Consider the following 15,400-nt stretch of genomic DNA (forward strand, 5'->3'; position numbering starts at 1 on the left):
TGTGTCTTTGTTCTCGTTGGTGTCAAAGAACATCTTTATTTTTGCCTTCATTTCGTTATGTACCCAGTAGTCATTCAGGAGCAGGTTGTTCAGTTTCCATGCAGTTGAGCAGTTTTGAGTGAGTTTCTTAATACTGAGTTCTAGTTTGATTGCACTGTGGTCTGAGAGACAGTTTGTTATAATTTCTGTTCTTTTACATTTGCTGAGGAGTGCTTTACTTCCAACTATGTGGTCAGTTTTGGAATAGGTGTGGTGTGGTGCTGAAAAGAATGTATATTCTGTTGATTTGGGGTGGAGAGTTCTGTAGATGTCTATTAAGTCCGCTTGGTGCAGAGCTGAGTTCAATTCCTGGATATCTTTGTTAACTTTCTGTCTTGATCTGTCTAAGGTTGACAGTGGGATGTTAAAGTCTCCCATTATTATTGTGTAGGAGTCTAAGTCACTTTGTAGGTCTCTAAGGACTTGCTTTACGAATCTGGGTGCTCCTGTATTGGGTGCGTATACATTTAGGACAGTTAGCTCTTCTTGTTGAATTGATCCTTTTACCATTATGTAATGGCCTTCTTTGTCTCTTTTGATCTTTGTTGGTTTAAAGTCTGTTTTATCAGAGACTATGATTACAACCGCTGTCTTTTTTTGTTTTCCATTTGCTTGGTAGATCTTCCTCCATCCCTTTATTTTGAGCCTATGTGTGTCTCTGCACGTGAGATGGGTTTCCTGAATACAGCACACTGATGGGTCTTGACTCTTTCCAAACCCATAGAATGTAAAACAGCAAGAGAAAACCCTAATATAAACTATGGACTTTGGGTGAGAATGATATGTCAATATGGGTTCAGAATTTATAACAAACGTATCACTCTGTGAAGACAGGAGGTATATGAAAAATCTGTACCTTTCACTCAATAGTGCTGTGCTCCTAAATGTGCTCTAAAAAGTCTATTAGAAATGCACAGAGATCAATATCATTTATGTACAAAACACTAAGTACATTTATACAGGGAGAAAATACCCAGAAGCACTTTATCTCACACGCACCCACACACACATACTCTCTCTCTCTCTCTCTCATTCTGTCTCTCTCACATACACACACACTCTTACACACAAGTGGATTTACTAAAGAAAACTGAAAAGTTATATGCAAACAAAGCATCTTTAATAGATTTGTGCCCTTCTACGTTGTGGATGCTTTCTGCATCATGGAGACACTTTGGGACAATGTGGCCTTTTTTTTTTTTCTTTTTGTGAAGAAATGGAGATTGTAAAAGTAGTCTTTTCTGACAGGATGTTACCATAAGAAGAAATTATCTAATAGAATTAAATATTATTATTTGTCTTTAATTCACAGAAAACTTGTTCTATAATTCTAATGTCAACAGTTCTTCTTTCTATGCTGTCAGAATGAGGGTTTTTGAATTAACATATTTCTGAATACCAGAGGATTATTTTTAGACAATTAGAGGTAACTTTTTAATTATTACTTTTTTTTAAATGTCAAGAGATATACATATTTTACCAAATTGATGTTGCAATAACAAAGTAAAGTTTAAGACATTTTGCCCAAAGTGATAAAAAGTAGAACTTTATAAAAACTTAAAGTATTGATACTTAGAATATTCATAACATAATTTGAAAAGAAACTGCCTTGAAATTACTCCTAAGTTGCAGTTCAGTACCACCACAATTTTTGCTTCAAATTCAGACTATGATACTGTTGAACCAGTATTTCTTTCTCTGTTTCTTGTTTGTATGTTTATGAGATAAAGCCTTGATGTGTTGTCCAGGCTGGCCTCCCAAATCCTAGGCTCAAGCAATCTTCCTACTTCAGCTTCCCAAGTAGCTGGGATTACAAATGCATGCCACCATGACCTGCTAAAACAATATTTCTCTTTTTATCCTTGGCCAGCACCCAAGAAAACTGTGGAATAAACATTGAAAACTAAAGTAATCTGGACCAAGTTTTCTCAGACCGCTAGTAATTACTAGAAAGAAGGTGATAATAAAAATCCATATTTTATAGAATATCAGAACATTTAAAAACAATGGAAGATGTATTTGCCCTCAGAGTTATTTGTATAAAATTAATAATATTGCAAATTCTGGAATAATTTTAAAAATTGAAACCAATCTAATATCTCTGTTAACAAAGACTCATGCCACTGAAATTTATATGAAAAAAACGCGGTAAAATTTTGATGACATGTTGCTATATTTCTATAAAATGATTATGCCTGGAATGATGCTTAACTTCTCTTAAAATTCTGCCATTTAACAAAGGCCATATCAGTTTTGTTTTACTTTAGTTTTCATTGCTTACATTTTTGAAACATTCACCTTTTCATTCTAATAATGACAGGTGGCATGGTTTTATCAACACAGTAATGTTCACCATTCTTATGAAGTTCTTTGTGAGAAGGTAGCATTACACACACAATCAGTTATATGTACTACAGAGAGGGCATGAAAGTTTTCATTTCTTACTTTACCCCTTACCACATACACAAACTGTAAAATGTAACAAGCCTGGAGCTTTTATGAATACTTGATCAAAGTTAAATTTGATGTGCACTAGAATGTGTTGGTTGTCTTCAGGTCAGCATGTGGGTCCAGAGGCTTGTATATCCCCTGCAGTCCTTAAATCACAGTCTGTTCCAAGATATGCTTCATTGCAATTGCAAGGTTCTGCAGAAAACACCAAATACAGTATTTTCATTAAAATATTTGTTTTATTAATATTTAAGATTTTCAATAGAATTCCAAGTATTATAGTAACTGCTGTAATGTATTTTCTCAACCAAAAAATTTTTCAGACTTTCAGCAACTTTGGTACATTTTTATTTTCTTTTTTTCTTTGTTTTTTCTTTCTCTCTCTCTTTTTTTTTTTTTTTTTTTTTTTTTTTTTTGTTATTGTTGAGACAGAGTTTCACCCTTGTTGCCCAGGCTGGAGTGCAATGTTGCAATCTCAGCTCACTGCAACCTCTGCCTCCCATATTCAAGCAATTCTCTTGCCTCAGCCTCCTGAGCAGCTGGGATTACAGGCATGTGCCACCATGCTCCGCTATTTTTTTAAATTTTTAGTAGAGACAGGTTTTCGCCATGTTGGCCAGGCTGATCTTGAACTCCTGACCTCAGATGATCTGCCCGCCTCAGCCTCCCACAGTGCTGGGATTACAGGCATAAGCAACCATGCCCGGCCACATTTTTATTTTCTATATAGTGTTTGCTTTTACCTAACTGAATACTCAGTTATGTGGGACTTGGAGATAAATTCTGTATTTACTAGATAATAAATGTTTATTTGTTAGCTAAAGTAGAATTTTAGTTGCCAAAACATTTTTTTTCTTTAGCCAAATTAAATTATCATAGAGCAGGTTTAGAGACTCTCCTCATATAAACCAATATTATGTGTGACTCTGGCAGGATACACTTCCTTTAGATTAAATATATGTCAATGGATTTGAATAGCAAAAGTGGTGAATTCATTTTGTAAAATAAACATTTACTTATTTACTTTTTAGAAAAAAAATCTATAATAATCCTAGTATGACTGTGTCCTTATTAATAGCTACTGTTTTGAAAAAGAAAAATGATAATATTTATGCTTATGAAAGGATAAACATTAACTTCTGTTTATCATAAAGAACTATAAATTTGGCAGAATTTACTACTAACATAATACTATGCTTCATTCTGCTATGGGGAAAAATATTAATTGTACATGCTTCAATTGATGTCTTCCAATTTTTAAGAAATTATTCACAAAAAATTAAAATCTAATTAAATTAGACTTGTAAGGATGAAATACTCAAAGTAGAAACTAGAATATGCCAATCAGTGCATTATATGTTCATTGAGTACTCTGGCATTTCTTTTTAATCAACAGAAGGTAACATATTTACTGATAAAACTAGCAAAAAGGCAGAGAGAGCAATTAATGTTTGGAAAACTTTCAGAAACTGATGAACAAAAGATAATAATCATAAATTACTAGTTAATTCAGAAGTATAGAATTGAGTTTTAAGATGTAAGTATACAATCATACATTGAACTAGTTCCTACCCACAACTTCAGCAAATGTATAGAAGGTTCATCTTAAGACCTAAAGTTACTAATGCTAAAAGAAATATATTATTGAATGATCTTATAACCATTTCTCTCCTTCCTGTACTGTTATTTATATATCAAATTGCTATTTCACTGTTCAGGTATATATGTAGTATTTACCTAAATTTTTAATTTCTTGAAGGTTTTGTACTGTTTCATATTTATTTACTGTCCAATAATATCCAGTCCAGCTCAGTGGACTTACTAAATATTTGTTAATTTGCTGTACTAAGCACACTCAAGTTACACATGTTCATATGTATTGGAGGTGGTGCAAAGTTGTATATAGGTAGTAATACTTATTTAAATACCTTGGAATCTAGCAGAACTCAATGGATCAAAGAAAGTCAATGGCTTACTCAGTCTATGAGTTCAAAGTTGATAGGTAAATTTCAAACTGTACAAAATAATTATGTATTGACAGTGATGTAATCTAGACTACTGACACACTCATAGTAAAATAATGTTGCTAGTAGCACAGTAGCAGAGTTTAAATTTTGCTAAATTAATTGTGTGCCCAATAACAGCTTTCATCTTTCCTATTGTGTTTACATTTTATTCTAAGACTGGAGAAAGTTATTTTTAAAATTTTGGGGTCGAATACATATATTTAAGAAAATACATAAAGGTCACTTTTAAAAGTTGCATTTGGGCCAGGCATGCTGGCTCACGCTTGTAATCTGAGCACTTTGAGAGGCCGAGGCACCAGGATCACCTGAGGTCAGGACTTTGAGACCATACTGGCCAACATGGCAAAAACCCATTTCTACTAAAAATACAAAAAATTAGCCAGGTGTGGTGGTGCACATCTGTAATCCCAGCTACTATGGAGGCTGAGGCAGGAGAATCACTTGAACCCAGGAGGCAGAGATTGCAGTGAGCTGAGACCGTGCCACTGCACTCTATCTAGCCTGGGTGAAAGAGCAAGCCTCCATCTAAAAAATAAATAAGTAAATAAATAAATAAATAAATAAATAAATAAATAAATAAATAAAAGTTGCATTTAGATAGTTTAATAGTGACCAAGAGGTATTCATATATTTTACTGAAGACCACATGCTTTAAAGTATATTTTCTTCTAAAGGTAAGAGAACAATTTTATAGTGTTCAAATGACATTTATGTTCATCATTTCATATTATCCTAAGAATGATCCTTTGGAATAAGATGGAGACAATATTATCTCCACTTATAGATGATGAGATTCAGATTAAAAAACTCAGCACTGTACAATACAAGCCTACAGAAACTGAATGACTACAGGTTGACTTGAATTTTTATCTATTTGTCCCCAAGTCCTGTATTTTATTCTCTGAAACATCCACTATTATCTATGATACCGAAATGTTTTTGACTTATAAAATGATTATAAATCTTAATTACCACCTCTCAGAATCCGTTGCTTAGTTAATATAGAGGTTTTCTTTCTTAAATTTGGTTTCACTTAGCTTTGTTTTTAATAATGGGAGGAAAAGACTGCAAATATAACTTATGTTTATAAATTTAAAAATAACCATCAGGAAGTGTAAACATTTCATTTACTGTGTTTAGTTTCTATCCTTAGATGAGCTCCACAATGGTTTGGACTTACTTAATATACTTAAAAACATTTGCACCTCTTGTTCAGATCATTTTAATAAATATTTATTGACTACCTATTCTAGGCAGAGGAATTGCAAAGGAAAATGCAGTCCTTCCTTGTTTAGAAAGGTAATCATCTAAGTAAAATATATATGGAAAAAGTAAATACAATACAGCCTGGTTAAGTGCAATACAAACACTGGAAAATAGGAAACTATTAACTTTAAAGAGCCATATAAGGTCAGATTGAGGAACAACACTGAAGCAACATTTAGTAACTGGGAACAGAATATTAACAGTCTGTTTATATGAGGATGGCATCATATTATCACAAACTATAAGTTATCTTAATAGGTAACTATCTAATTAATAACAGAAAAATATTCTTATACCAAAAGAAAGATTTTAGTTAATAATCCACATTTTTAACTGGTTAGAAATTATAAGCTATTCAGCAGCATCTTATTTAATTTTATAGGCATACTTTGCAAATAATTTTTTTGGGGGTATATGTCAGGATGATTTCATGTTGGGTGGTTGGCTTTGTTTCATTTTCACTGTCCTTGTTGGGCATCTTTCTTTCCTCAGGAGGATGTTGTCTCTTACACCCAGGTTATTTGTTAAAGTCTTTGGATCTATACTTAACTGATGACCTAGAAGAGCGATTCTCAAAAGTGTGAGTCCTGGACCAGCAGCAACAGCATCACCGGGAACTTGTTAGAAATGCACATTCTCAGGCCACTCCCTAGACCTACTGAATCAGAAACCCTGGGGTTGGAGCTCAGCAATTACCCTGCAGGTAATTCTGATGCATGCTCAAGTTTGAGAACCACTGGCCTAGAAGAAATGAACTACTGCAACTTATGAGGAATCATGAGATCCAGCTCACTTTTGCTCAATACCTATCAAAAGCTTGTCCCAGAGTGATTATGGAGGATTGCATGCAGGATACACACTTCATTAAATCCTCTAAAATCTAACTTTGATTAATTAAGTACAGGGTTATTGCTGATAGCCTCATAACTCTACCACCATTATAATGGATCTATATAAAATTGCTTAATATCAGTAGCCTAAATTTAGGAGCACTATAGTTTTAAAAATACTTAATTGGCTACTTTATTTAACAATGTTTTAGGGATGTCGTTCAGTATCTTTTCCAGTGTTTGCTACCTAAGATCCCATTGGGGTAAAAATATAACTCAGATTTCACTGTTAGGAATAGTTCTGTTTGTGAGCAACTTACTTCCTTTCATCTTACACAATGAACCTTGTAATTTAATTATGATTTTCTCTTCATACGAGCTGTTAGAAAGCTCAGCATTAAATTTGTGGCTCACCTCTAGCAAATATATAACACTTAATGATGTGACTGTCCTGATTCTAAAACTTTTTCTCTTGGTTTTTTACTTTTTAAATAAAAACACATTTAACTTACCTTCTTATTTGTGCGATGTAATGGTCATTTTAAGTTTCTTTTTAACGACAAGTTGAAGGATTGCTTAATTAATTAACAAATAACATTAAAACTTATGTGCCTATAGAAGATGCTGAACTATACCAAATTTTGCCAGGAAATAGAATTCAAAAGGATTAATATAGTTTTGGGTTAATAAAATGGAATCAAAAATGTAATGTCAGCAGGGCACGGTGGCTCACGCCTGTAATCCCAACACTTTGGGAGGCCGAGGTGGGTGGATCACGAGGTCAGGAGATCGAGACCATCCTGGCTAACACGGTGAAACCCCGTCTCCACTAAAAATACAAAAAATTAGCCAGGCTTGGTGGCGGGCGCCTTGTAGTCCCAGCTACTTGGGAGGCTGAGGCAGGAGAATGGCGTGAACCCAGGAGGCGGAGCTTGCAGTGAGCCGAGATCACGCAACTGCCCTCCAGTCTGGGCGACAGAGCAAGACTCCATCTCAAAAAAAAAAAAAAAAAAAAGAATGTAACGTCAATAAAGATACTCTTGTCAAAATGAGAAACTGAAACTTATAGTGGCTCAAGGATTTTTTCGTCGTCAGTGAGGCTAGTTAATGGCAGAACCAAGGTGAGAATTTATGTCACCTAACCTAGATGTCTAAGTACTTATTCCATTGTTTCATGGGGCTTGAAGTCTTTACTGCTATTTAAAATTGTATATTTACTTTTAAAATATTATGTATACATATATTAATATATACAACCCATTCCTTTTAGATTATGTATTCTTCATTTATATTTTATATGTTATCTACATTTAAAATCTACAGAGGAAAAGTAGGTCTTTCTTTTAAGAAATATCATTATCCACAGCATTAAGCATTCAGATTCAAAGAACCTTAGGGATACAGAGATTTGAGGGATTAGATGAATAAGTTGAGGCGTCTAAGACTACTTGCCCAAAGTAATACAGCTCTTTAGTGGTAGAATCAGGGCTGGAACATAAGCCTCTTTACTCCTTGTAGTAGAGGTTTTGCTACCATAGAGAAAGACAAACAAACAAGCATTTTTTCACATAAAAAGTAATTATGATTCGTAATAGTGCAATTAATGCAAAGATGTTTTAAGCCAGGATAAAGATGGGGAATTGTTGAAACTAATTTAATTGTGCCTATCTGTTCTTGAAGTAGGGCCTGTTCGTTTATCACATTTATCAGTTTTTTTATCCATTCTATTCTATAAATGCATATCACAACTCACTATAGGAGGTGACTGAGTGAGCTTTACAGTGATAAATTTTTCTTGTTAGGAGAAATTACATCCACTAACTTGAGCTACTTCAGCATGAAATTGAAAAAGAATCATTTTGTCTTAATTTACATTCTTGATTCAATGAGAAAAATGTGAATTAACCCAACAGAACTACAGATGCTTGCCTCAGAGACTAAAGGTACACTAAATTGGTATCATTAGAAGTTCATCAATTTAAACATCATCCAATTTATTAGAATAGATTTTAAGCGAGGTTATTAAGGTTAGTTACGCCAAGCCTGTATATTCATTTTTCTAAATATTCATTTGTTACTTTGGTTCAATTTTATTATTTTTGATACATCTTTATCAATACTCCAGTGCGGTTTTCATTTCTCACCTAAGCTGTGCACATCATTTCTTAATCAAAATCACTGGGATAGTGCTGCGGTTCACTAGCCTTAGGAGCTGCTATTTGCCTTGAATAAATTACATGAAAACATGTTGATTGATAGATGTTGCATGTCAGAAAAGAAGATAACTGTATCTTCTTCAGCTTACTAAAAGGTCATGCACACAGAGTGATAGGAACAGCCACAGACAACTTTGAGATAAAGTGTATCATGAAAAGGTGTGCAACCTTGAAGCTGTGAAACATGGACTTGAAAGACATTTTCTTTTCAAATAGAAAGAAAATATATCCAGTTACATTTAAGTGTTAAAGTAAAAATAAAATATACTTTATCTTAACTATATTTTCCAATATTTTAGTAATACACAATCTCTGCTTTTCTCATGTGATTAAAACGGTGAAATTCATAATTATTTTTAAATTGATCTTTTAACTTAAAATCTTGTAAGGATATGGAAAAATTTGAGAAAATACTTTAATTTTATAATACACATTTATATAACAGTCTTAGGGAAATGAAAGAAATCTACATGTAGATAAATGTTTAATATTAATAAACTGGAAACAAGCTTTGGTAGCCTTTTCTTATTTTAACTTAAATCTCCAACATATCTAATTGTGTCTAGAAATAATCTGTGAATTGAGGCTTATATTTTGTTTTCTGTTTCATTTTTCAGGCCATCGGCATATTTCTAAAGTGTGGGGTTTAAAACTGCATTTACCTAAATGTTTATATTAAGACAAAACCAAAAGCACTTAAAATAAACCTCTGCATGTAAATATTGTAAATTTTTTTGGTCATTCAGCATACTTAAGGCATATCTGTGCTAATGTTAAGCCTTATATTAAAAAGGAAATTTTGTTCTTTTATGAATATTCCATATATATGCATTCATTAACCTAGCTAAGTTAAAAAAGAAACTGACAGTGTTTTGGAAGTATAGTTTTAAAAGTAGGATGGAATGTTTTTAGTTTCAGAAAAAACACTAGCCATGTTCTTATCTATCCCAAATTACTTTGTTCTCCAACAGAGCTGCCAAACTGTCAAACTGTCCAGCTTCAGTATATAACAAAGATTCTGTTGTATTGTAAAGATATTCATAACAATTTTTATGGAAGGCTGAAAGTGTATAAGTTCACAGTTGTAGCGATAACATGGCACTCTTCACTGTTTGGCTTGTTTATATTGGCACAGATCCCCAAAGTGGAGACTGACAGAGTCATGCAGAAATCTGGTATTTGAGTTGAAATTTACACACTTTAAGTGATGAACTAAACAGGCTGGTGTTTTCTTTTTCTTACTCAAAAAGTGCAAGGTTACACAATACAGACGGTTTTCATCTTTTCCCATAAATGCACAGATTCCTGGGATATAAATGACTGAATTCATCACCAATTCATCAGGGACGCTGAGCTATGCAGTTCTGTTTACAGTGGCAGAAAGTTAATATAAATTTTCATCAGAAGGGGAAGTTTACACATATGATTCTATTTGTCCTTCATTATTAGCACCTGAGTCTAGGCTAGAACGCATAATTGTCTACAGGCACAGGCCAAATAGATGCAAGGGAAAGGCAAATAAGCACACCAAAAATAATTTTATGGTTGTCTGTTACAATTCTCTCACTGGGATTCTTAATCTAGAAAATCAATAAACAACAGGAGTGAAACTCTTTTCCTCTGCTCAGGCATGGCACAGCCGAAAGTAGCACACAGAAAAACCATTGTGCTTCTTTTTGTTTTAGTTTATTCTTTCTGTGAAGTTTATTGGATCCCCTTTCTCCTCAAGCAAAATATATCCTGAGTCAGTCTGCTATTTTTTATACATTTTTCAATCATTTTTTTGGTTCAAGTGACAGCAAATTTGACCTGACAAAATAGTACCTTCTTTTAATTTTTGAAAATAAGTTAACTTAGGAATATATATTTATCATAAAGATTTTAAAATTTTTTTATTGTATTACCATCTGAACATCTGTGGAAACTCAGACATTAGAGTAGACCAGTGCTATCTAAGGATGACAATGGCTAAACCACACTAATGGCAAAGCCAAGATCAATGATCCTGATTTTAGGGTAATGGGCATCTATTCTCTAATATATCTTGATATAAAAATATTAAAAGTAGCCTATTTTTGGATATCATGCTCTATCAACATCAAGGATACATTTATTATATCTAATTTTATATTTCATTCTTGTTTTAATATAATTTATTTTGTTGGAATTATTATTTAATATAATTATTTAATATAATTTACTTTGTTGGAATTTTGTCTTTTAAGTTAAAATAAGCCAAATTAATCCACCTTTTACCTGCTGTTAAAAGTTGTTTACTTTTTCCCCCAATCTGGACCTCAATATGAACTTTCATATTATTTTATTCTTCTGATTGACTTTATTAATAAATAGCCTGTGCTCTTTTTGTCCCCACTGGTTCCTTAATACAATATTGCTGCTTCTCTGTTTAGTAGCCTAATTTTAATGTAGTTAAAATTATATCAAAATTTAATATAAATAAATTTTACTTTTATTGATTTGTAGATGAATAATAATGTTCATTAAAGAAAAGACCATATATTTCTAACAAGCATTAAGAAAAATGTGGACTTAATACAACTTATGGAAGTTCAAATGCCAAATATGATGGCTAGGTAGTACATAAAAATAAAATATTGGAAAAATATTTTGAAAGCGATTGCACAGTTTTTGCAAATATATGTTTTGATAATTTTTCACACAGGTTAATTTAAAAGTAACAGAGTTAATTTTTACTGTAATCTATAAAAATCAATTCCATTTCTATGTTTTTCTAATTTACTTGTCAAAATCTTACAGTCTGTACTCTGCATTAAATGTTATATTGATAATTTTAAGCAGTTATTCAGAATCTTTTATTACTTTTTTCTCTCCATTTGCCCTACTTACAATGAACATTTATACATTTCTTTCACTTAAATTTCTCAAGAGAGTGTTGAGCCATGATGATAGTATCTGCCTTTCACCTGTACTTATGTAGATTATACTCCCAGCAACATTTGTATAGTAAGTACAATTCCATAATTTTACTGATATACCACATTTAGCTGATGTTATTTCTGTTCCTTGGTGTCGACATTATAAATAGTTCCAGTATATTTTACTCATTTTTAAGTAAAATTTACTAAAGTTATATAAAGTGTTTATAATACATTTCATCTTTTATATTTACGGTTTACCTATTAAAATATTTGAGAAGAGGCTGTATCAATATTCACCCAAAAAAAGAAAAAGAGTCATGCAGAGAATGTCATGTCAACATGATAAGCATCTGGATGAAAACTAAGCAAATTATGCACATAGACAGATGTTTTCTGTATAAAATATGTGGATAGATTTTTCAGGTTTCATCCAGATGTTTGGAATCATGTGGACATAATCATGACCTCTTTGTGACCCTTTCTTTTCCCTATCACATAGAGATTAAATGACTCAGTAAAAAGCATTGGTATTAGATTTTAAAAATGCTCAGGATCTCACTCAGCCTTGACTTTAGTGCTTTTTCACTAGAACAACCTGAACTACTAAGTCTCCAGACACAATTAGTTTGACTGCTTTTAATTAAAAAATTACTGATTTGTTTTAACTATTAGTTGGTTACTTATCCATTCAAATCATGCATTTAGATTTTCGTATATGCATATCCTCAAACATAGTTCTGACTTCTCATTTCTCCATTTTCCTTTGTTGTCTCTGTTTCTTTTTTTGGAATAAAACCTCACTAATTTATATGATAAATCTCAGATTAATTAAACAAGTTATTCATTAAATCAAGATTATAGGGGGAAGGATTTAAGGAATCAAATTGTTTTCAAACACTTGAACTAATGTAGGAGCACTCATTCTCATATAAATAATGTGCTAATTACAAATTATTCTTTTCTGTTAATTAAGACAGGTCAGCAGGATTTCTACTTGGCAACACTTAGCTTAAGTGTTCAAGTTGCTATATGTACTTGAAATTAATGAAATTGAATTACCTTTAAAATGTCAGGCTTTTCATTATTTTCTGTGATTATTTGCACTCATTCCTTTTAATTATTTTAATGCAGAGGGGTTTAATTTTATATGCATATTTATCTATCAATTTTATAAATTATTTCAGTAGTATTTAGAGATCAAATAATAGGTGAAGTTAGGATAATCACTCTCCAAAAAAAAAAAATCAACACAAAAGTTTTTGTGCTGTCTAATTGATTTCAGAACAAAACTAGAAAGCCCTTACCAACCTGTTACAACTTCTTTTGGGGGGGTCTTCATTTCTACCATTTTTAAAACCACGTCATAGATGGCAGGTAGATATTCTATTATGTGATCTATAGGGTTTTTGTGTGTTCAGAAGGAGTCTACAGTTACACCTCTCTTTAATTGATAAAAATGCTGTTATGTAAAAGTCATGTATTTTATGTATAAGGGCGGGGGTAGTTGGGAACATAGTAGTAGACCTGCTGTATATTTCTATGCTGGTTCCAAACTCCAGCAATCTCATTCTACTTACTTTTTTGTAGCGTACTGTTTCTTGAACATGTCTTTATATATACTGTTTGCCATTTTTAGCTCTTTGAAACACCTTAAAATGACCAACCTTTTTATCTTTTCTACTTCCACTCCCACATTAAAAAACAACAAAAAAAAGCTAATACCAGTCAGATCAGTACCTGCAAAAGTATGTAGCACTTGGCAGATGCTCAATAAATACTTGCTTAGTGAATGAACAAATATATTGACAAGAAAACAGTAATGATTATTGTTTATTCATACTAAGGAGACATGAACAATGACACTGAGCAATTTACCAACTAATCAAGATCAGTTACTTATACATTGCTATATGAACTTTGGCAAGATTACGTGAATCTGACCTAAGTTTTCTGCCTTTTTTGTTTGTTTGTCTTATTTCTACTTTGTCTTTATGTTAGCATAATTCTTGCAACTCCAAAATGTCTTCATATTTTTTCATAAAACTGAGGTCTTAATCATGGTACTCTTGTATCAATTATATAAGTATACTTTCATGGAAACTAAGACAGAAATCATATATTAGTACTACCAAAATGTTAATACAGGAAAATTTAATCATGGATTATCAAATTGTATTAATCACTTTCATGTCACCTCTTTGAATAGTTATTTGATATTTATTTTCCCTTGAGATATATATATATACATATATATCTAATCAAAGTATGTTTTCCCATTTTTTATTTTTATAATTGCATGGAGTCAGATTTCTTGAAGATGTTTAAATGTCAGCATCAAAGGTTATACCAAATATTTCACATTTATTGCAACCTAATTTAAATGTATATAATATTGTTTCAAATATTGTACAAATTCAAAGTTCACAAGGCTCCAGAACTGGCCTGATTTCATTGATTAAGTGCTCAGTGGTTGGCACTCACTAGGGCTTCCTCAGTGAGTGATGGAACATTGAATGTAAGAAAAGCTTTGAGGAGATATATAAGCTATAAGCTATATTTATTGTGGGCTAATGTATGTCTGCTTGTTGTAGGAGTAAATGTCTTCGTAGAATATTGAATTATTTTTCATATCAGGCCTTTAAAAGTAAAAAGAGCTGTTAAGGATAAAATATAAAATGTTTCCTAATGCTATATTTAACAATCTTTAATAACCACTCATCTCTAAAAATAAATACTGTTGATGTTTAAAACCCAAAGAAACACTATCAGTTGGTGTCCTGGAAGTAATACATTCTTCTGAAATTAGATTCTTACCCCTACCCCCCCCAAATAAACCAAAAACAAACTTTCGTATCAATAACTAAGAAGCCGTGTATCTAATTAGACAAAATGGAAAATCTATCTATCCTACCTGATTTCTTTCTTGTCAGGAGTCTAAAATTCTCCATTGATTTCCTTAAAGCCATCTTAGCAAGTAGAAGTGAAGCTATTCTAAATAATGTTGCAATGACAACTACTTATTTATTCATAATTGTGATGATGTGTTTTCCAGGATGCAATTTCACTATTGTGTACATAGAGTGATGATACTTATTTTATTTGACCAAAAGTTGAAATTGAACTTGATCTTGGATCTGTAAATATATTCCTTATCTCAAGGATAATGAGATGTTAAAAACTGAGAAATAAACAAATTAGGAAATTAATTTTTTCGCAAAAAAATGAAAAGTCTGGAAGTCATTGCTTGCTGGCATTGACTCAATGACTGAAGGATGTCACAGCTGAAGTTTTGGTAATAATATTGGCTTGTCCTTTATAGTCACAAGATAGTGGGGACTATGTCCCAATACATGCAGAAATAAGGGGAAGGCCACAGGGCTAAAGAATGCCTGCATAAGGAAAGCAAACTCCCCTGTTGACTTTTGCTGATGTGTCATCTATTAAAACTATGTTCCATAGATACCCCTAACTTTGAGGGAGAGAGAAATTAGTTTTTACCAGTACACATTATCTTCTCTAATATAGTCATGTTTGTTAGTAAGGAAGAAGGAGGCAGTATATATTGAGTATTCCCCTGGAAGACTCTGCCACAGAGATAGGCATAAGTTCATTTCACCTGAGAACAAATGATAACATTCAGCATTCATCCAAAAAGACATTAAGTGCTTGCT

General features: G+C 32.3%; 1 protein-coding gene across 8 annotated transcripts in view, besides 1 other annotated feature; it reads left to right on the forward strand.

Annotated features, from left to right (window-relative positions):
- FOXP2 (forkhead box P2) overlaps positions 1-15,400 on the forward strand; it is a 607,439-nt gene that overhangs the window by 406,281 nt on the left and 185,758 nt on the right. The gene's annotated exons all lie outside the window — the stretch shown is intronic.
- Positions 9,470-10,865: an enhancer, noted in NCBI's record as "VISTA enhancer hs999". NCBI's record gives its function as "enhancer in: midbrain (mesencephalon)[4/6] | facial mesenchyme[4/6]" and the evidence as "EXISTENCE:transgenic organism evidence [ECO:0001131][PMID:17130149]".

This window comes from Homo sapiens, chromosome 7 (assembly GCF_000001405.40).
Source record: "Homo sapiens chromosome 7, GRCh38.p14 Primary Assembly".
NCBI lineage: Eukaryota > Metazoa > Chordata > Mammalia > Primates > Hominidae > Homo > Homo sapiens.